The 20,554-nt window shown below is 47.3% G+C and overlaps 1 protein-coding gene across 4 annotated transcripts in view, besides 7 other annotated features; it reads left to right on the top strand.

Moving 5' to 3' along the window:
• Positions 297–356: an enhancer, noted in NCBI's record as "active region_137". NCBI's record gives its function as "activates an Ori minimal core promoter by ATAC-STARR-seq in GM12878 lymphoblastoid cells {active_cell/tissue: GM12878}" and the evidence as "EXISTENCE:reporter gene assay evidence [ECO:0000049][PMID:35858748]".
• Positions 1,417–2,133: an enhancer, noted in NCBI's record as "H3K27ac-H3K4me1 hESC enhancer chr1:9883897-9884613 (GRCh37/hg19 assembly coordinates)". NCBI's record gives its function as "activates a minimal SCP1, AML or CMV promoter by ChIP-STARR-seq in primed H9 embryonic stem cells {active_cell/tissue: H9 hESC(primed)}" and the evidence as "EXISTENCE:reporter gene assay evidence [ECO:0000049][PMID:30033119]".
• Positions 1,417–2,195: a biological region, named in NCBI's record as "H3K27ac-H3K4me1 hESC enhancer GRCh37_chr1:9883897-9884613".
• The window catches only part of CLSTN1 (calsyntenin 1), a 95,601-nt gene continuing 76,492 nt past the window's right edge, over positions 1,446–20,554 (top strand). For 3 of the 4 annotated variants that reach the window (XM_047449470.1, NM_014944.4, NM_001302883.1), the window contains exon 1: positions 1,446–2,329. In XM_047449470.1, the coding sequence (XP_047305426.1) occupies positions 2,239–2,329 (91 nt within the window). In that variant the 5' untranslated portion in view covers positions 1,446–2,238. The remainder of the gene's footprint in view (positions 2,330–20,554) is intronic. The other variant, NM_001009566.3, reaches the window with a different exon arrangement.
• Positions 1,746–1,805: a silencer, noted in NCBI's record as "silent region_235". NCBI's record gives its function as "represses an Ori minimal core promoter by ATAC-STARR-seq in GM12878 lymphoblastoid cells {active_cell/tissue: GM12878}" and the evidence as "EXISTENCE:reporter gene assay evidence [ECO:0000049][PMID:35858748]".
• Positions 1,826–1,875: a silencer, noted in NCBI's record as "silent region_234". NCBI's record gives its function as "represses an Ori minimal core promoter by ATAC-STARR-seq in GM12878 lymphoblastoid cells {active_cell/tissue: GM12878}" and the evidence as "EXISTENCE:reporter gene assay evidence [ECO:0000049][PMID:35858748]".
• Positions 2,046–2,195: a silencer, noted in NCBI's record as "silent region_233". NCBI's record gives its function as "represses an Ori minimal core promoter by ATAC-STARR-seq in GM12878 lymphoblastoid cells {active_cell/tissue: GM12878}" and the evidence as "EXISTENCE:reporter gene assay evidence [ECO:0000049][PMID:35858748]".
• Positions 2,206–2,285: a silencer, noted in NCBI's record as "silent region_232". NCBI's record gives its function as "represses an Ori minimal core promoter by ATAC-STARR-seq in GM12878 lymphoblastoid cells {active_cell/tissue: GM12878}" and the evidence as "EXISTENCE:reporter gene assay evidence [ECO:0000049][PMID:35858748]".

Genomic DNA, 20,554 nt, shown 5'->3' with positions numbered 1-20,554 from the left:
AGACCATCTGGGTCCTTCCCACTAGAATACAGTGGGGAGGAGAAAAGGACACTGATGGATTAGTCAGTCGACAGCACAGGCAGCAGATTATAAAGCTGAACTGTTTGGTTAGAGCAGCTCGGGGCTGGAGAGGGAGGGCTGGCAGGAGGACTTCCTGAAGGAGACAGCCCAGAAGCTCCTTGTAAGGACCTGAGGCTTGGGTATGGGTGGAGGAGGAAGTGTGATGTTGGCCCTGGGAGGGGAATGAATAAGAAGAGACAGTGGCAGACAGCATGCCCTGAGGTCAGCTGGGTGGAGGATGGGAAGCCCAGCAGAGATGTCTGGACCTGACGAGGTGGCAGCAGGGAGGCACTCACTGAGTTTATAACTCCAGGAGGGGCAGAAGCAATGGCAACACCCGTCACCAGGGGAGAGGATGACTCAAAGCCTTGGCTGGAAGGAGTGGTGGGTGTGGCTTGGAGCCTGCCCGGGCCAGGCAGGTGCTTTGGGAAGGGTCCAGCCAAGGAGAGTCCGGTCTTCCTCCACGCAGGGGAGGGGGAGCAGGGGAAGGAAGGAGAGACATTAACAAGATGGAATCTGTAGGCTTTGGTGCAGGACGCTTACGGGGAACACGGCTCAGGGAGTTGGATTCCAGATTGCTTTTGAAGCCTTCCCCAGGTCACATCACACCGCTGTTCCCAGCCGTTCCAGGTCTTCCTGTTGACTGTAGGATCAAGTCCATTCCCCCAATCTGACCTCAGTCTACGTTTTTGGGCTCTTTGCCCACTAGTCTCCTAAATAAGTCCTCTGCGCCCCACAAACCAGTCTCCACCCAGCCTCCAGTGCTGCCAGCCTCCTCCACCCCCACCTGGAGCAGTGACATTCATGGATAGCTCCTCCAGCGGTCTCGAAAAATGAACATTTTAGGGTTCCACTTTTTGCTGTTGGTGTCCCCCTAATGCGAACATCCTGTCCTTGAGGGCTGATTCTTTTTACAATAGTTGTCCCAACGGGGGAAGTCATTTCACCTTTCTGACTTAGTTTCCTTATCTGCAAAATGGAGCCAGTAGTGTCTCATAGGGTACAGTGCCTGCACACACGCCCATCCACGGCTGTTCCAGGCCTTTCCTCCACTGCGGGGGGGTGCCAGGGGTCCAGAGGCGAGGAGGAGGGGGCCGCTGGACGCTGGGAAATTGGGAGGACCCCAAGATCCCTGTAGGGATCCACGGTAGAGGGGGAGGGCTTCTCTGTCCTCTCTATCCATTCGGACCTCCGCATTTCTAAGAACCAGCATCGCACCATGTCACTGAGAAAGAGCGCGCACACCAGCCGCCTTTTGAAAGTCACAAATAGATTCCTTCAGTGAATTCAGGACAGACTCCCCGGGGGCAGGTCCCGGGGCGGGAGCCGGTGTGGGTAGTGCTGCGCGGCCCTTAACTGTTTACCAGGCGCGTTTCGCTGACCTCGTCTCCTGGACCCCCTTTCGTGACCCCTCTCAACACCTCTACTGGGGAGACGAGGACCCCGAGGTTCTGGGGGGCGACGCGACCTGCCCGAAGTGACAAGGGTCCTGGGCCGCACTGCTCCGCCGGGGTCTGCGCTCCTCGGCGGAGCGGGTGGGAAGGATGAGTCCTCGGGGTGGAGAAGGAGGAGCGGGTCCCCGGGTACCGCTCACCCGGCCTTAGGAGCCCGGGAGCGCGCGTAGGGACGCGGAGTTGAGGCTCTCCATCTGCGGCCAGGGAAAGGGATACAGTCCCCCGGGCCCCTCCCGGCCGCTCGGAACCCACCCCAGGCGCGTCCCCGCGGGCGCGCGCTCCAGGCGGGGCCGACGGGCTCGGAGGCGCGCGCCCGCTGCCGGGTCCGCCGCGCGCGCTCCCTCCGCTCCTCTCCCCCGCCCCTCCCGGGCCCGCGCGCTCCCAGGGTCCGCCGCGCGCGCGCCTCGCGTCGCTCCCCATCCCCGCCCCTCCCGCCGCCACCCCGCCCCCGGCCGGGTACCCTCGCCGGACCCGAGAGAGAGCGCCGCCGCCATCTTAGTTGCTGCCGCTGCCTTCAGCAAGACGCTGCTCTGAGGCGGGGAGGGCGCCGCGTCCTGAGCGCGCGGCCCAGCGTCACGGCGGCGGCGGCGGCGGCTCCTCCTTGGACCCCCGGAGCTCCCCGCGCCGCGGAGCAGCTAGCCCCAGGCCCCTAGAGCCCCGAGAGCTCCGAGAGCTCCGCTCGGCGTCCCGCGCGCCTCCCTGCCGCTCCCGCCCCGGGCTGGCGATGCTGCGCCGCCCCGCTCCCGCGCTGGCCCCGGCCGCCCGGCTGCTGCTGGCCGGGCTGCTGTGCGGCGGCGGGGTCTGGGCCGCGCGAGGTAAGCCCCGGGGCTGGGCCGGGCCGCTGGGTCGGTGCGGGATTCGGGTCCGGGTGCAGGATTCGGGTCCCGGTGCGGGGATTCGGGTCCGGGTGCGGGAGTAGGGCCGGATGCCGGGATTCGAGCCGGGATGCGGGGAGTCGGGTCCGAGCGCAGGGAGCCGGGTCAGGGCGTGGGGTTCGGGTTGGGGGTCGGGCTCGCGGAGCCGGGGCCAGGGCGCAGGAGACTGTGGGCGCGCGCTGCAGGCGTCCCGGGGAAGCCAGGCTCCGTCCCGGGCGGGGCTCCTGAGCCTGGGCTGCCCCCACTGCAGCCCATGGTGGTGGCTGCGCTGATTTGGGGGAACGTGCAGACGGGCCGAAGGGTCAGTCCGCCCTGCTCAGCGGCGCACGCAGGCTGGGGCTGCACCCCTGGGTGAGATGCTCTGTGTACGTGTGCTCAGATGTGCATCAGGCGGGGGGTGCACGCACAGTTTTGGTGTGTGCTTACATAAGAGCCCACTCCTCCGCATCCCGTTTCCAAGATCCCGATTCTGTGTTGCTGCACCGCGGACACCACGACTTCGCCCCTTTCCGCCTCCTCCCAGAGTCCTTCAGACGTTGTCTGTTTCCAGTGGAGCCGAGGCTGAAACTTAGTGCTTCCCTCCCACCTTTTCACCCAAAGGTGAAATCGCGATGAGATTTGCGACCGCGGGCTCACCCAGTGTTAGAAATCTCCGTCTCTGCTACCCCTGGTGCCTTGGTGCTGTTTTTCTGACGGTCATTTAGACCGTGGAGGGTTAGATGTTCTCTACAAAAACGAGAAACCTCTCTGGTTTTTTAGGATTGTAGGACCGAAATTATTTTATGGCTCGGTGGGAAGTAGTATTTCTTGGCTAATTTATTATTAGCTTTTAACCTTCATCCACTTAACCTTTTAAACCTTGCATGCCTCTGCTATTGACTGGTCTTGCCAACGAAAAGCTTACGCATTGCAGATACAGTATTTGCTTCTGAGTGGATCTTGAAATCGTAAACATTTTCCTTGGCCTTAGAGCAGAGTAATCTAGGTGTAGTCTGTAGAATCTACTGTAGGCTTAAATCTGTTGTTCTGATTTTTTTTTAATCAAAAGAAATTTTGGGGAGGAGGATTGATAGAAATCTAGATGAAATGGTCATATTTGAATTTAGCAAGCTTTTTAAAAATTCTTATTTTCCCTTCCCTGGCGTGACATAAGGAGAGAAGTATGGTGTTCACGAATTAAAGGGCAGAGGCGGCAAATGCATCTTTTGTTCCATGTTCCTTTCTAAACATCGAGGATGATAAACTTTGAATACTTCTTTTATTTCATTTCTAACATTCTGTTGACTCTGTCAAATTCAGATCTTAGTCACTAAGTATCTCATTGCTGGCCATTTGATTTTTAAAAGTAACATCAAGCTAAGTTTGAAATGTTCTTTCCAGATGTGGGTTGGAGGTCTGAAACTCTAATATATCCAAGAGAAATGTCAAAAGTTTTGCTTCTCTTGGGGAAAACCCACACATTTTAAAAATATGTGCTTGGATTGGGTATTTTGGGAACAGTTTAAGTATATTTAGTCAGTGATACCATTTCTTGTTAAAATTGGTGCTTTCTTAAATAGCACCTACATTTGTTAGTCATTATTTAATTGCCTTGGTTACTTAAACAGCATACATTTCAACTTTGAATATCTTCATTACCTGAGACCGACAGAAATCTTGTGTGAAAGGTGTGTTGGCTAGTTGAGTCATTTGTAATTTGCTTTCTCTAAGTTTTTCTTGGTGCAGTTACAGTAGTTCAAGATTCTTAGTCTTCGGAATAAAGACATTTTACACATCAGTTATTCGTATGCATTTTTTTCAGGTTGCAAGTTAGAAAATGTCTTGGAATTACACGAAATGCTAATAAACAATTTCATTTTGAAATATTACAAGTGAATTTCATATGTAAATTTACAGTTTGGAGACACTCTGTGGGCTCGTTTTAAGAGATCATTTCAACTAATTGAATTTTTTACGGCTGTAAGGCAGTACGACATGAACTCCTGTTCATGCTGTAGCTACCTTTAATCATTGTTAATGTTAGATTACGTACAGACTGCTGCAGAAAATGATAGATTTTCTAATATAAATTGCATCTTGACTCTTAGTTTTGTAGAGACCCTCAAATTTTATTTTAATTATAGCTGTAGTTCTCAAAAAACATTGAGTAGAGCTGGGTGCAGTGGCTTGCGCCTGTAATCCCAGCACTTTGGGAGGCCGAGGCCAGCGGATCACCTGAGGTCAGGAGTTCGAGACCAGCCTGGCCAACATGGTGAAACCCCATCTCTGCTAACTATATAAAAATTAGCTGGGTGTACTGGTGGACGCCTGTAACTCCAGCTACTTGGGAGGCTGAGGCAGGAGAATTGCTTGAACCCAGGAGGCGGAGGTTGCAGTGAGCCGAGATTGCGCCACTGCACTCCAGCCTGGGTGACAAAGCAAGACTCCATCTTAAAAACAAATTCAGTAAGCCAAAATATTAGAAGAAATATCTTTGGCATGCCCTGGACGGTCATGTCCTTCAGCTACCTGCCTTCTTCATGGAGATCGGGAAATAGAACAGTGAAGCAGAGAAAATAGAAAGCTTATATGAATATTTAAAAAATGCAACCATGTAATGCATTTCGAAGCCACTTAATACATAAAATTCACTGTTACTTTTCCATTTGCACATAGGCTTAGTGAGACCTCCCCTCACCATCCTATTTGAAATAATTTCTCTTCCTGAACCCCTAAATCCTGTTTCCCTGCAACACTTTTTCTTTTTGCATAGCACTTAGCCCATTCTAACATGCCTTGTTGTTTACTTATTGAATTGTTTATCGTCTGTTTCCCCTCAGTAGAACATATGCCCCAAGATGGAAGGGTATCTGCTTTGCATATGTTTCCCGTCACCAGCACACCAGAGGCATGCCAGTATTGTGTGATTGAATGAATGAATGGGTGGATGGATAACAGCATTTCAGTTTAGACAGCGTAGTAGCTTTGCATCCTAATTTTCACTTTACAGATAAATGCTATATACTGAAAAAAATTACATAGTGTAAAGCAAACTTAAGTTTTTTTTTTGTTTGTTTTTGTTTTTGTGACAGAGTCTCATTCTGTCACCCAGGCTGGAGTGCAATGGCGCGATCTTGTCTCACTGCAACCTCCGCCTCCCGGGTTCAAGAGATTCTTCTGCCTCAGCCTCACCAGTAGCTGGGACTACAGGCATATGCCATCACACTGGGCTCATTTTTGTATTTTTAGTAGAGACAGGGTTTCACCATGTTGGCCAGGCTGGTCTGAACTTCTGACCTCAAGTGATCCGCCTGCCTCTGCCTCCCACAGTGCTGAGATTACAGGTGTGAGCCACTGCACCCGGCCCAAACTTAAATTCTGCAGTGTCGATATGGGAATTCATTAGTGGGTAAATTTTCAAGGATCATGGGGCCAGCCTCGGTGGCTCACCCCTGTAATTCCAGCACTTTGGGAGAACTAGGCAGGCAGATTGTTTGAGCCCAGGAGTTTGAGACTAGCCTGGGCAACATGGTGAAACCTTGTCACTACAAAAATACCAAAAAAAAAAAAAAAGTTCAAGGATCAATTCTGTTGGTTGCAGTATTGGGGATATTAGATCATGAAACTCTGTCTCAGCCTTTGAAGGCTGTAGCTCTGTGGCTACCCCTGTTAGTCCCTTTAAAAATACTATAATTTTCAGCTTTTTTGGGAAGATGGTTTCTTAATTTGTTACCTCGTTTTTTCAGAAGTAACGATGTGGAAAAAAGTCGTTCGAATATAGACCTCAGTATTACCCATAGTCTAACATTTTTAATACTGAAAGTAAATAACATTTATTTCTCAAAGGAGACCTATAACTGCTGAAGAAATAATAAAATACGAACAATTTTGAATATATTCCAATTTTAGAGCATTCACTCGGTTAACTGGAACCTTCAGTTAGCTGGAATTCGTCCTTTGGCTGGATATTTCTTTTGGGAGAAAAAGCATGAAACCAAGCAGTTTTATAGGAATTATTTTTCAAAAGGAAGGTTTAGGAGGTCATAACATACATTATCTGTGCCAGTATTTGATATTCAAGCCAAAAACGCAAATAATATTTCAGTTTTAGTTATGAAGAATATGACCAAAAAATGAAATTTTTGTGGGATATAAAATATTACATTGAAAATAGAAAATGCTGTAATTTCGTAACACTAGCTGCAGGACTTAGTGAAGCTTATTAAACCAAGTCTAAATGTTTAAAATGAGGAAGCTGAGATAGGTTAAAATTTTAGAACAAAGGAAAAAAAGTACTGAGTTATTTTTATTATTGCTTTCTGAGACAGGAAAGTATGTTTTTTAATTTTTTTGGGTAGTTTTCATTTATAAGAGTTGAAACAAAATAGAGATCTGATTATCCTAAAAAACCGCCAAGAGTCTATTTCTTATGTATTCTGGTTGAGGGCTTAGATCATTAAAACTTGTTTTTTTAGTGGGTCTTAATTTGGTGTGAAGACTTGCTTGAAGGGGCCGGGTGCGGTGGCTCACACCTGTAATCCCAGCATTTTGGGAGGCCAATGTGGGTGGATCACGAGGTCAGGAGATCAAGACCATCCTGGCTAACACGGTGAAACCCCATCTGTCTCTACTAAAAAAAAATACAAAAAATTAGCCAGGCGTGGTGGCAGGTGCCTGTAGTCCCAGCTATTCGGGAGGCTGAGGCAGGAGAATGGCGTGAACCCGGGAGGTGGAGCTTGCAGTGAGCCGAGATCGCGCCACTGCACTCCAGCCTGGGCGACAGAGTGAGACTCCGTCTCAAAAAAAAAAAAAAAAAAAAAAAAAAAGAGTTGCTTGAAGAAATATGTCTTTATAAGTGAAATTTAAAATGTTGATTTGCTACAAAATACGGATTTTAGTAGTGTTTCAGGACTACAGATTCAAGATTGGTGGAAATTATTTATGCAATGTCATGTTCGTGCATTAAAAAACAACCAAGGCCTGGCGCGGTGGCTCATGCCTGTAATCCCAGCACTTTGGGAGGCCAAGGTGGGTGGATCATGAGGTCAAGAGATGGAGACCATCCTGGCCAACATGATGAAACCCTGTCTCTACTAAAAATACAAAAATTAGCTGGGCATGGTGGCATGCATCTGTAGTCCCAGCTACTTGGGAGGCTGAGGCAAGAGAATTGCTTGAACTCGGGAGGCGGAGGTTGTAGTGAGCCGAGATCACACCGCCGCACTCCAGCCTGGCGACAGAGTGAGACTCAGTCTCAGGAAAAAACAAAAACAAAAACAAAAAAAAACCCAAACGGCCAGGCATGGTAGCTGACACCTGTAATCCCAGTGCTTTGGGAGGCCAAGATGGGTGAACTGCTTGAGTCCAGGAGTTCGAGACCAGCCTGTGCAACATGGTGAAACCCCATCTCTACTAAAAATACAAAACAATTAGCTGGGCATGGTGGCATATGCCTGTAGTCCCAGCTACTCAGGAGGCTGAGGCTGGAGAACTGATTGAGCCTGGCAGGTTGAGGCTGCAGTGAGCCAAGGTCACACCACTTGCATTCCAGCCTGAGCGACAGAGCAAGACTCTGTCTCTAAAAAAAAAAAAAAAAAAAAGCCAAACTAACAGACCCTCAAAAGTGACATTTTGAGGCTATGCAAAGGCCATATATAGGAACCCTTAAATGGCGACAGCCTCCCCACTGTGTCAGCCTGACATACAATACCCGTCTTTTCCCTAAGAGCTGCCACCACCCGGGAACTAGAATGCTGCTTTCAGTTGTCCCTGATTTGATAGGTTCTTTCTCTCCTATGTTTTAGGTATATTTTTGCTCATTTTTTGATTTAGCTTTAGGATATTATTATTAGATTAAAAATTTTCACAAGATCTGTTACTAAAGTTTTTATTTTTAAAGATTCTTGGCAGAGATTCACGTACTTCAAAGTAGCAGAGTTTAAAGCAGCTTAAATGCCTATAAAACATCTGAAAGTTGGCTGGGTGCAGTGGCTCACAACTGTAATCCCAGCACTTTGGGAGGCCGAGGCAGGCGGATCACCTTAGGTCAGGAGTTCGGGACCAGCCTGACCAACATGGAGAAACCCCATCTCTACTAAAAAATATAAAATTAGCCGGGTGTGGTGGCGCATGCCTGTAATCCCAGCTACTCGGGAGGCTGAGGCAGGAGAATTGCTTGAACCCAGGAGGTGGAGGTTGCGGTGAGCCGAGATGGTGCCATTGCACTCCAGCCTGGGCAACAAGAGCAAAACTCCGTCTCAAAAAAAGAAAAAAATCTGAAAGCTTCCTTCCCATTCCGGAACCCCAATAAGAAGTATGTGATAGCATATCAAAAGAAGAGTCATGTTTTTTCTTTTTTACTTCTTTGGTCAGACATGAATCATTATCTTAAAAAGAATTAATAGAAGTGGCGTCTCACTGTGTTGCTCAGGCTGGTCTCGAACTCCTGGACTCAATCAGTCCTCCCACCTCATCCTCTCAAAGAGCCGAGATTATAGGTATGAGCTACCGCACCTGGCCGAAGAATCATCTTTCAGCCATCTGTTTCGTTCTGTCTGATTCTCCCATGACAAGAACTTCTGTTGAGTCTGCTACTTTTCAAGCCTACCTTGATCTGTACTTTCTCTGAGTCATTGTGTAGGACAAAGGAGGACCACCGGCTGGGTGCGGTGGCTCACGTCTGTAATCCTAGCACTTCGGGAGGCCGAGGTGGGCGGATCATCTGAGGTTGGGAGAAAGAGACCAGCCTGACCAATGTGGAGAAACCCCATCTCTACTAAAAAATACAAAATTAGCTGGGCGTGGTGGCACATGCCTGTAATCCCAGCTACTTGGGAGGCTGAGGCAGGAGAATTGCTTGAACCCAGGGGGCGGAGGTTGCAGTGAGTCGAGATCACACCATTGCACTCCAGCCTGGGCAACAAGAGCAAAACTCCATCTCAAAAAAAAAGACCACTTTTGTCATGCCACTGCACTCCAGCCTGGGTGACAGAGCAAGACTTTGTCTCAAACAAACAAACAAAAAAACCCACCTTTTTCTGCATCCACTCCTTTTTTTTTTTTTTTTTAAAGCAGCTTTATTGAGGTATAGTTCACATACCATAAAATTCAACCTTTTAAGGCATACAATTCAGTGATTTTAGTATATTTACAAAGTTGCACAACCATCACCACTATCTAATTTCAGAACACTTTCATCACTCCCAAAAGAAATCCCATATCTGTTAGCAATCATTCTCCATCTCCCTCCTCCTCTCCTCCTCCCTTGGCAACCCCTAGTCTATTTTCTGTCTATGGATTTGCTTATTTTGGACATTTCACATCAATGGAATCATACGTGGCCTTTTGTGACTAGCTTCTTTTGCTTAATATGATGTCTTCAAGGTTCATCCATGTTGTAGCATGTATCAGGACTTCGTTTCTTTTCATAGGTAAATAATATATCCTTGTAGGGATATAACACATTCTGTTTATCCATTTATTCACTGATGGACATTTGGGTTATTTCCACTTTGTAGCTAATTTTGGAAAATATTACTATGAACATTTTTGTACAGGAATTTGTGTGGACATATGTTTTCATTTCTCTTGGGTGTATACCCAAGTGGAATTGTTGGGTCTTAGGGTAACTCTTAGATTTAACTTTTTAAATTAAAAAAATTTTTTTTTGAGGTAGAGTCTCACTCTGTCACCCAGGCTGGAGTGCAGTGATGTTATCTTGGCTCACTGCAGCCTCCGCCTCCTGGGTTCAAGAGATTCTCCTGCCTCAGCCTCCCGAGTAGCTGGGATTACAGGTGCCTGCCACCATGCCCGGCTGATTTTTGTATTTTTAGTAGAGACGGGGTTTCACCATGTTGGCCAGGCTGGTCTCCAACTCCTGACCTCAAGTGATCCAGCTGCTTTGGCCTTCCAAAGTGCCGGGATTACAGGCGTGAGCACTATGCCCGGCCTGTGTTTTTAACATTTTGAGGAACTACCAGTTGGTTGTACAAAGTGGCTGCACCATCCTGTATCCACTTGACCTCCATAGTCACTCACAGGAGCATTTTTCGAATCAAATACACATTTCACAGTTTTCTAGTTTGTTAGAATTTTAAGTTGAATTTTTCCTAGTCTAGGTGCAAACCGGCATTTCATCCAACCAATTCCTTCCTTTGCCATTGTCTCTCATATAATTTCTACTCTGGACTTTAGACTTTGAGTTGAAAGGAACTTTGAAAGTTCTTTCCTCTATACTTTAAATAGCCTTCCCTGTAAAACAGACATTTCCTCATATGTTCTTGTGTGTTGATCATTCAGCCTCTGTTTGAACTCTGCTGCTGTGGGGCTCTTGGTAGCTCACAGAGCAACCCTTTTCTTAAAAACATTGAGCCTTTGGTCAGCTTTCCTGAGGACTAAATTTTATCACGCCTTTGTATTTTTGCAGGCATCCAAGCCTACAGTCTGTTGTTTTTACCACCTCACACATTAAGAGAGACTGAGAGCACTGAGGCCTAGGCCTTGATTTCTGTAGATTTCTTAGGAAATCTGAGCCTAGCACAGGGCTACACATGCAGTGTTTGGGGGACAGCCACCCAGACACATGCAGAGTCAATATCCTGGTTCCAGGAGCAGGGCTTAACTTAATGAAAGGGACTGGAAAAAACACGAGAATTTTCAAACTACAACTAGTTTAGAAAAGTGACATTTTTCTTTTTTTTTTTTTGAGACAGGATCTTGCTCTGTTGCCCAGGCTGGAGTGCAGTGGCACAATCACAGCTCACTGCAGCCTCAACCTCCCTTGGCTTAAACTATCCTTCCACCTCAGCCTCCTGAGTAGGTGTGCACACCGCCATGCCTGGCTAATTTTAAAATTTTTGTAGAGACGGGATCTTCCTATGTTGCCCAGGCTGGTCTCGAACTTTTGGGCTCAAGCATTCTGCCCTTTTTGGCCCTCCAAAGTGCTGCGATTATAGGCGTGAGCCACCATGTCCAGCTGACATTTCTTCATTCATTACATTTTTGTTATGCTAGTTGGCTAAAAATGTGCTTTGTTAAAAAGTAAATTATTTTTTCTAGTCCTTTGATTTTATTTAACTATTCCTCAATTACCCAATCTTCAAACATATAAAATGCTTAGAAATATGTCTTTAGATTCAAAGTGAATTTTAAAACTCAGTAAAAATGAATATCTTCTTTGTTTACATACTTAAAGTATAGCAAAGAAATTTTTATTCAAGCTGGAGTGCAGTGGCACGATCTCAGCTCACTGCAATCTCCGTCCTCCCAAGGTTCAAGCGATCTGCCCATTTCAGCCCCCTGAATAGCTGGAACTACAGACACACACCACCATGCCTGGCTTTTTTTTTTTTTTTTTTGGTAGAGATGGGGTTTTACCATATTGCCCAGATTGGTCTCAAACTCCTGGACTCAAGCAATCTCCCTGCCTCAGCCTCCCAAAGTGCTAGGATTACAAGCATGAGCCACCATGCTCAGCCTAACATTTTTCTTTCTTTTTTTTTTTGAGACAGTGTCTCGCTCTGTCACCCAGGCTGGTGTGCAATGGCGTGATCTTGGCTCACTGCAAGCTCCTTCTCCCAGGTTCATGCCATTCTCCTGCCTCAGCCTCCTGAGTAGCTGGAACTACAGGTGCCTGCCACTGCGCCCGGCTAATTTTTTTTTGTATTTTTAGTAGAGACAGGGTTTCATCGTGTTAGCCAGGATGGTCTCGATCTCCTCACCTTGTGATCCTCCCGCCTTGGCCTCCCAAAGTGCTGGGATTACAGGTGCGAGCCACCGCGCCCAGCCAACATGTTTCTTATATAGTACTTTTGAGGACCACTTCAAAATAGTTGAATGTCATAAATTTAAATTGAAGAAATGTGAAACTTCAGAATGATTTGTATAAGGTTGTCTATTAAGTGGCTTTTAAAGGGTATAATGAATTCCATCTGAAATGCAGACTCTAGTCTCACTGAGTTTTGCATATTTCAGATGTAGTTAATGATGAAGATTGACAGGACTAGCTACATAATCCAAGGGGCCAATGCAAAACAAACTGTGGGGCCCCTTGTTCAAAAATTATTAAAAATGTTTTTCTTTTTCTTTCTTTCTTTTTTTTTTTTTTGAGACAGAGTCTTGCTGTATTGCCCAGGCTAGAGTGCAGAGGTATGATCTCAGCTCACTGCAACCTCCGCCTTCAGGGTGGAAGCAATTCTCGTGCCTCAGCTTCCCGAGTAGCTGGGATTACAGACATGCACCAGCAAGCCTGGTTAATTTTTTGTACTTTTAGTAGCGACAGGGTTTCACCAGGTTGCCCAGGACGGTCTTGAACTCCTGAGCTCAGGCAGTTCACCCGCCTCAGCCTCCCAAAGTGCTAGGATTACAGGCGTGAGCCACTGCATCTGTCCCAAAAATTATAAAAAATATCAAGATGGCAACAGGTTTTTCTTTTTGTTTATTAGACAGAGTCTTGCCCTGTCACCCAGGCTGGAGTGCAGTGGTGTACTCTCGGCTCACTGCAACCTCCACTTCCTGGGTTCAAGCGATTCTCATGCCTCAGCCTCCTGAGTAGCTGGGATTACTAGGCACCCGCCACCATGCCTGGCTAATTTTTGTATTTTTAGTAGAGATGGGGTTTCACCATGTTGGCCAGGCTGGTCTTGAGCTCCTGACCTCAAGTGATCCTCCCACCTCAGCCTCCCAGAGTGCTAGGATTATGGGCTGAGCTACCTCACCTGGTCAGCAATAGGTTTGTTTGTTTTTTTTTTTTTTTTTGAGATAGAGTTTCAGTCTTGTTGCCCAGGCTGCAATGCAATGGCGTGATCTCAGCTCACCACAACCTCCACCTCCTGGGTTCAAGTGATTCTCCTGCCTCAGCCTCCTGAGTAGCTGGAATTACAGGCATGCACCACAACTGGCCCGGCTAATTTTGTATTTTTAGTAGAGATGGGGTTTCTCCATGTTTGTCAGGCTGGTCTTGAACTCCCGACCTCAGGTGTTCTGCCCGCCTCGGCCTCCCAAAGTGCTGGGATTACAGGCATGAGCCACCGTGCCCAGCCAGCAATAGGTTTTTAAACCAACCCTGGGGCCCTTCTATGCCTGGCTCCTGGCACATGCAGGAAACTGGCCCTGAGTATTGATAAAACTAGATGACAGAGTATTAATAGTCAAATTGTGGGCCCAGGGCCTGAGATTTTCACCAGAGCTGCTTGTCCTCTGTGTCTCTTGTCAGCTGCATCTCTGGCCAATGCTCCTCCTTCCCCTTGGGAAAAGAGTCCTGCCTTTTATTCTAAGTGGCTTCAGGGTGCAAGTTTCCCCTTCATCTTTCCATCCTCAGCAACAAGCAAAGGATAGGCTCTACTCCGTTCTCAGTGGACAGTGAGAACCGATGGTAGACAGAGGCTCACAGAAGACTAGGGTTGTGTATGATCTGGGGGACTAAAGCCCTTCTGTTAAGCAGATTATGTTTACTCTTTTTTGTTTTTTTGAGACGGAGTCTTGCTCTGTTGCCCAGCCTGGAGTACAGTGGTGCGATCTCGGCTCACTGCAAGCTCTGCCTCCTGGGTTCAAGGTATTCACCTGCCTCAGCCTCCTGAGTAGTTGGGACTACAGGCATATGCCACCACGCCCAGCTAATTTTTTGTATTTTTAGTAGAGATGGGGTTTAACTGTGTTAGCCAGGATGGTCTCAGTCTCCTGACCTCATGATCCACCCACCTTAGCCTCCCAAAGTGCTGTGATTACAGGCGTGAGCCATCGCCCCTGGCCTATGTTTACTTTTAAAATGATTTGACTAATTGATGCTAGTTTCTTATTACTTACAGAATTAGTAAAAAGGATAACAAATCATTAAAATTCTTGGATAATCCCTACTCTTTTTTTTTTTTTTTTTGCCATGCATTTCAAGCATTTGTCAGAGTACTAAGTAAATAGTAAAACACACTGACTTGAATTTCATTTTCTCCTTAGGCCCTCTCACTCTGGGCTAAAATTATTAAAGGAACAGTGGGGGTGGGGAGTAACAGGTGGGGTACAGTCGTTTTGAGTTTTTGAGCCCCTCAGTTACTAGTGCCTTGTGACTAGTTGGAAGGGGACCTTGATAATCCTGACTGATTATAAAGCCCTAAGTTGGCAAGGTCAGAGCTTGCTTCTGAGCTGTCTGTAAATATCCATTGATACCAGCTCATGATTCCTGTAGAAAACATTTTCATTTGGCAAGGGTTTAAAAAGTCCATGCCCAAGTGTACGAGAGCCGCCTCTTGTTTACCTAGGAAGCAGCGAATACATGTCTTCTAAACATTCAGAGCCTTGAATAGAAAATAAATACTGGCTTAAATGCTTTTTTATATGAAATCTGACATGTTAAAACTTCTTCTAAATTGGAGTAAGTACCACTGGGATAGCTTCATAACATAGCCTTTCCCCTCCCTTCTGCTGACTTTAATAACAACTACGACATTACTGTTTGTTTGAATGAAATAATGTTTTAGGCCATTAATACCAGTGGTTAATATATATTTGCAGATTCATTTGGTAAAGTTTATTAACTTTGTCTTTTTCTAGACTTTTTCTGAGTGTTCTTAGAAGGTTTGGGCTTTTTAACTGCTACTTAAAGTAATGCATATGGCAGTGGGTCTGAACAGATTGTGTTGATTGCATTTTTCTTGTTGCATATAAAGTATATCATACATTGTTGTGAGGGTCCCAGGAGCAAGAGAATTGATCAGAGAACAGAGAGGAGAGAGGATCCGGAGGTATGTGGAATGAGGCATTCTAGGTAGATGTGGTCAACAGTTTAGATTTTATTTTTATTTATTTATTTATTTTTAATTTTATTTATTTATTTTTTGAGTTGGGGTCTCACTGTGTCGCCCAGGCTGGAGTGTAGTGGCGCAATCTCGGCTCACTGCAACCTCCGCCTCCCAGGTTCAAGAGATTCTCCTGCCTCAGCCTCCTGAGTAGCTGGGATTATAGGTGTACACCACCACACCTGGCTAATTTTTGTATTTTTAGTAGAGATGGGGTTTCACCATGTTGGCCAGCCTGGTCTCGAACTCCTGACTACAGGTGATCTATCTGCTGTGGCCTCCCAAAGTGCTGGGATTACAGGCGTGAGCTAGTGTCCCCAGTCTTTATTTATTTATTTTTGAGACAGAGTCTCATTCTGTTGCCCAGCCTGGAGTGCAGTGGCATGATCTTGGCTCTCTGCAACCTCTGCCTCCCGGCTTCAAGCAATTCTCCTGCCTCAGCCTCCCGAGTAGCTGGGATTACAGGTGTACACTCCCACACCTGACTAATTTTTGTATTTTTAGTAGAGATGGGGTTTCACCATGTTGGCCAGCCTGGTCTCGTACTCCTGACCTTAGATGATCCACCTGCCTCGGCCTCTCAAAGTTCTGGGATTAGAGGCGTGAGCCACCATACCCTGCCTGCCTGCCTGCTTGCCTGCCTTCCCTCCCTTCCTCCCCTCCTTCCCCTCCTTTCCTCCCTGCCTTCTCCCTTCCTTCCTTCCCTCTCTCCCTCCCTCCCTCCTTCCTTTCTCTCTCTCTCTCTCCCTCTCTTTCTCTCTCTTTCTCTCTCTCTCTTTCTCAGAGTCTCCCTCTGTTGCCCAGGCTGGAGTGCAGTGGCATGATCTTGGCTCACTGCAGCCTCTGCCTCCCAGGTTCAAGCTATTCTCCTGCCTCAGCCTCCCAAGTAGCTGGTATCATTTTTATAGTTTTTTTGAGACAGAGTTTTGCTCTTTCCCTCAGGCTAGAGTGCGGTGGTGTGATCTCGGTTCACTGCAACCTCTGTCCCCCAGGTTCCAGCAGTTCTTCTGTCTCACCCTCCCGAGTAGCTGGGATTATAGGCACCCACCACCGCGCCCGGCTGATTTTTGTATTTTTAGTAGAGATGGGGTTTTACCATGTTGGCCAGGTTGGTCTCGAACTCTTGACCTCATGATCCACCTGCCCAGGCCTCCGAAAATGCTAAGATTACAGACGTGAGCCACTGCTTATATTTTTAGTAGAGACGGGGTTTCACCATGTTGACCAGGCTGGTCTCAAACTCCTGACCTCAAGTGATCCAGCCTCCTTGACCTCCCAAAGCACTGGGATTACAGGCATGAGCCACCCTGCCTGGCCCAGTTTAGATTTTAGAGAAGTGAATGCAAGCATGAGTACCGAGGAGAGGCAGGTGGGGTGGTGATTAAGAGGCCGTTCATGTTATCTTCAGGAATGCACGGTGCAGAGTGGTGTGCACAGGAGCCTGACTGCAGAGATTGAAGGAGTGAATTATTCAGGATTGGGTGCTGACCCAGGAAGAGGACAGACCATCAGGCGAGTAAGGCAGATCCGCATTTGGGCGGGCGCTTCAGAGTGACTCCTGGAGGCTGGGGGGTGTGTGTCTGATGGGCTGTCACTCACATCCTGTGTCTTCTCAGGGAGGGCTCTGGGAGGCATCTGTGGCCAGCGGACAGTGACAGCATAAGGCCAGAGGTGTAAGTCTTGGCAGAGAATAAGGGCAGAGCCTGGAGGGCCATTGTTTCCCCTCAGCTTGGGTTGTGGGTGTTTTCTGCGTATGAGGTTTTCACTCTGGTGGACAGTGAAGCCAGGGACAAAGGGAGAACAAACATGGGCCCCTTGGGCCAAATCTGGTTGTTGCTTAGGCCTGAAGGAGAAGGGGAAAAGGGTTTCCTGAAGTTTCTGTTATATCTAGAATGCAGGAGACCAGATGAGGATTTGGGACAGCAGCCTTGGCTCAGGCTAGAGCAGTCCCGGCTGTACTCTTATCGTTTGGAAACCCAAGTACAGACAGGTAAGCTGGGGCAAGCTGGTGCAGAGAGCAGTGATGGAACCCTGGCATCTGAGCAGCCCACAGCAGTGGCCAACCAATGTGAGTCCGTGCTAGTTCTGGTCAGATTGAGGCCTTTTTCCTGAGAGCTCGGGCACGTGTTATTTCTCCACTCAGTCTGTCCCCAGGCCTGGGTAAACCGAACTGGCCCCTTGCTGAAATTCCTGACTACCTCCGCTCATGGGATCGTCTAGTAATTACTGGCAAACTGCCTCAACCTAGCTTTGTCTTGATACATTGTTTCCTGGTACCTAAGCCATTTCTGATTTGGAAAGGTAACTCATATTGATCGGTTTGGAGTTCAAGTTGGAACCCAAATTGTATCTTCCCCGTGGAAATTTGTTATAAACAATGCTTATAAAGCTCCAAAAGTGACTGTCAGAAACATATTTAACCTATAACAAGTGGAAATTGGGTAGATTGGCAGTAAATTCCAGCGCATGCATGCACATGCGTTCACGCTCACCCACGTTGCAGTACAGTGCTGTTGAGCCTTGAACAACATGGCTTTGAACTGCATGTGTCCACTTATAAGTGGATTTTTTCAACCAAACGTGAATGGAAAATACAGTATTTGTGGGCTGTGACACCCGCATATGGGAAGCACTGACTCTTTGAATACTTGGGTCCTGCAGGACCAACAACTTGAGTATGTGTGGATTCAGGTGTAGACTGGCGTCCTGGAACCACTACCCTGGTGGATACAGAGGGACTGCTGTCATTCTGTAAACCAGCGGTGAGGCGCTGGTTAAGGTGGAGTGGTGGGAGGCATTGGAGTGGCAGCGCCGCAGGATTCTGTGGGGGCAGCAGCCACAATCAGTGGCCCCTTGACCCCCACCTGGGATGAAGGGGCTAGGAGGCCGAGGTACCAGAGAAGGGTTGTGAAGGAGGCAGAAGCCTAGTTCCTGGGGTCCTAGGTGACCGAGCCAGTGAGAAGAAAAGGAGGGAGAGAGTAGCCTGCCACTGGGATCTGCAGAAGCACGTCAGGAAGCCCAGGGAGGAGGGGCCCCCATGCCCAGGCAGAGGCACGGCCTCCAAGGGCAGAAAGGTTTTGAGGTGGAGGAGAGGCAGGAGAGCCACAACCGGGGGCGGTGGGCCCTCTGCAAGCAGCCGCCTCTGCAGGCCCTGCCTCTTCACGGTGGCCACGCCTTTCAGGGGATGCTGACTGCTGTACGCTGTGTGGAGGAATGACTTAGGGCCAGACGCGCTTAGTGTTTTTCATCAAAGAATTTAACTGAAATATTGCTATTTAAAATTGTTACTTGAATTTACCAAGTTCCTAAATCTATATGAAGTAAATTTACTCCCTTGTATAGAGGCATTTTACTAAAGTCAGTGTAAAAAATGTATTTGATGTAACTCCCAGCTATTCCAGTGGGATGTATCATGTATCATTTAATATTATCTTTGCTAGAAGTTGTCGTTTGTAAATAATGGTGACGTAGTCCGTGTAGTGACTTCTAATGGTAAGGATGTAGTGACCAACTGCAGGCTTCCCCTTGAAACTCATCTAGGATGAGAGATGGGTCTCCCTAGGTGTGTGACGTGGACAGGTGCTGTTAGGTCAATGAGGTCTCGGTCATGTAAGCTTGGGAAGCGCTGTTAACGTTAAACAGGTTTCGTTACTGCAGGGCTTCTCACAGGCTTGAGTGCACTTGGAGGAATTGCTGAGCCGGGGGTAAAACCAACTCACTTGACCTGGGACTCTTTCTGCCGCACCTGTGGCACCAGTGTCCCGGGGAACACACTTTAGGCAATGCTGCTCCAGACCCCCCCCCACGCCCTTACTGTAGAACAAGAAAACACAGTTAGTCCAAAATAGAATGAAAGTAAGGTAAAAAGACTTAAAAGACTGCCTCTTTGACATCATTAGTGTAAACATTTTGTGTCTGTTTTTATTTTTATTTTTTTGAGACGGAATCTCACTCTGTTGCCCAGGCTGGAGTGCAGTGGTGTGATCTCAGCTCACTGCAAGCTCCACCTCCTGGGTTCACACCATTTTCCTGCCTCAGCCTCCCGAGTAGCTGGGACTACAGGTGCCCGCCACCACGCCCGGTTAATTTTTTGTATTTTTAGTAGAGACAGGGTTTCACCATGTTAGCCAGGATGGTCTCAATCTCCTGACCTCGTGATCCACCTGCCTCGGCCTCCCAAAGTGCTGGGATTACAGGCGTGAGCCACCGCGCCCGGCCTCGTGTCTATTTTTATAGATTTTTTTCTTTGTACAAATTTAACTACATAAAGTTTTAAACAAAATGCAGTCATATTCTACAGGGTATTTTGTAACATTCTCTTAAAGTCATTCATTCAGCAGACATTTGCCCCAGGTATGGTGTGTAAACTAATCCCTTAGAGGGATGTAGTAGAATTGAACCCAACCTAACCCTTTAGGGTTCCCAGATTGTTTGGTCTCAGGACCCCTGTGCTCAAAAATTACCATGGACTTTAAAGAGCTTGTGGTTATGTGTTTTTGTTTGTTTGTATTTTCGAGACAGAGTTTTGCTCTTATCAGGCTGGAGTGAAGTGGCGTGATCTCAGCTCACTGCAACCTCCCCCCCTCCACCCCCCCTGCCCTGGGTTCAAACGATTCTCCTGCCTCAGCCTCTGGAGTAGCTGGGATTACAGGTGCCCACCACCATGGACAGCTAATTTTTGTATTTTTAGTAGAGACAGGATTTGGCCATGTTGGCCAGGCTGGTCTTGAACTCCTGACCTCAAGCGATCCACCTGCCTTGGCCTCCCAAAATGTTAAGATTACAGGCTTGAGCCACCGTGCTCAGCCATATGTGGGTTTTATCTATGGATATTTATTAGAAATAAAAAGTGAGAACCTATTAAATAATGTAATTATTAAATTATTTAAAATAGCAATGATAAACCCATTGCATGGTGACTTAAATAACTTTTTTTTTTTTTTTTTTTTGAGACAGAGTCTTGCTCTGTAACCCAGGCTGGAGTGCAGTGGCACAATCTTGGCTCACTGCAACCTCCGCCTCCTGGGTTCAAGCGATTCTCCTGCCTCAGCCTCCTGAGTAGCTGGGACTATAGGCGCGCACCACCACACCTGGTTAATTTTTGTATTTTTAGTAGAGATGGGGTTTCACCATGTTGGCCAGGCCGATCTTGAACTCCTGACCTCAGGTGATCCACTTGCCTCGGCCTCCCAAAGTGCTGGGATTGCAGGTGTGAGCCATTGTGCCCAACCTAAATAACACATTTTTAGTGAAAATTAACTGTTTTCCAAAAACCAGAAACAACTTAGTAAGAAGACTGGCATTTTAAGTTTTTGCTAATCTCATTAATGTCCAACTTAAGAGAAAACAGCTAGATTCTGCATTGTCTGTTATCTGTTTGAAGTAGATGAAGAAAACT

Source organism: Homo sapiens, chromosome 1, assembly GCF_000001405.40.
Source record: "Homo sapiens chromosome 1, GRCh38.p14 Primary Assembly".
Lineage (NCBI taxonomy): Eukaryota > Metazoa > Chordata > Mammalia > Primates > Hominidae > Homo > Homo sapiens.
Note: the sequence above shows the minus strand (reverse complement) of the source record. Positions and strands in the feature narration are given on the sequence as shown.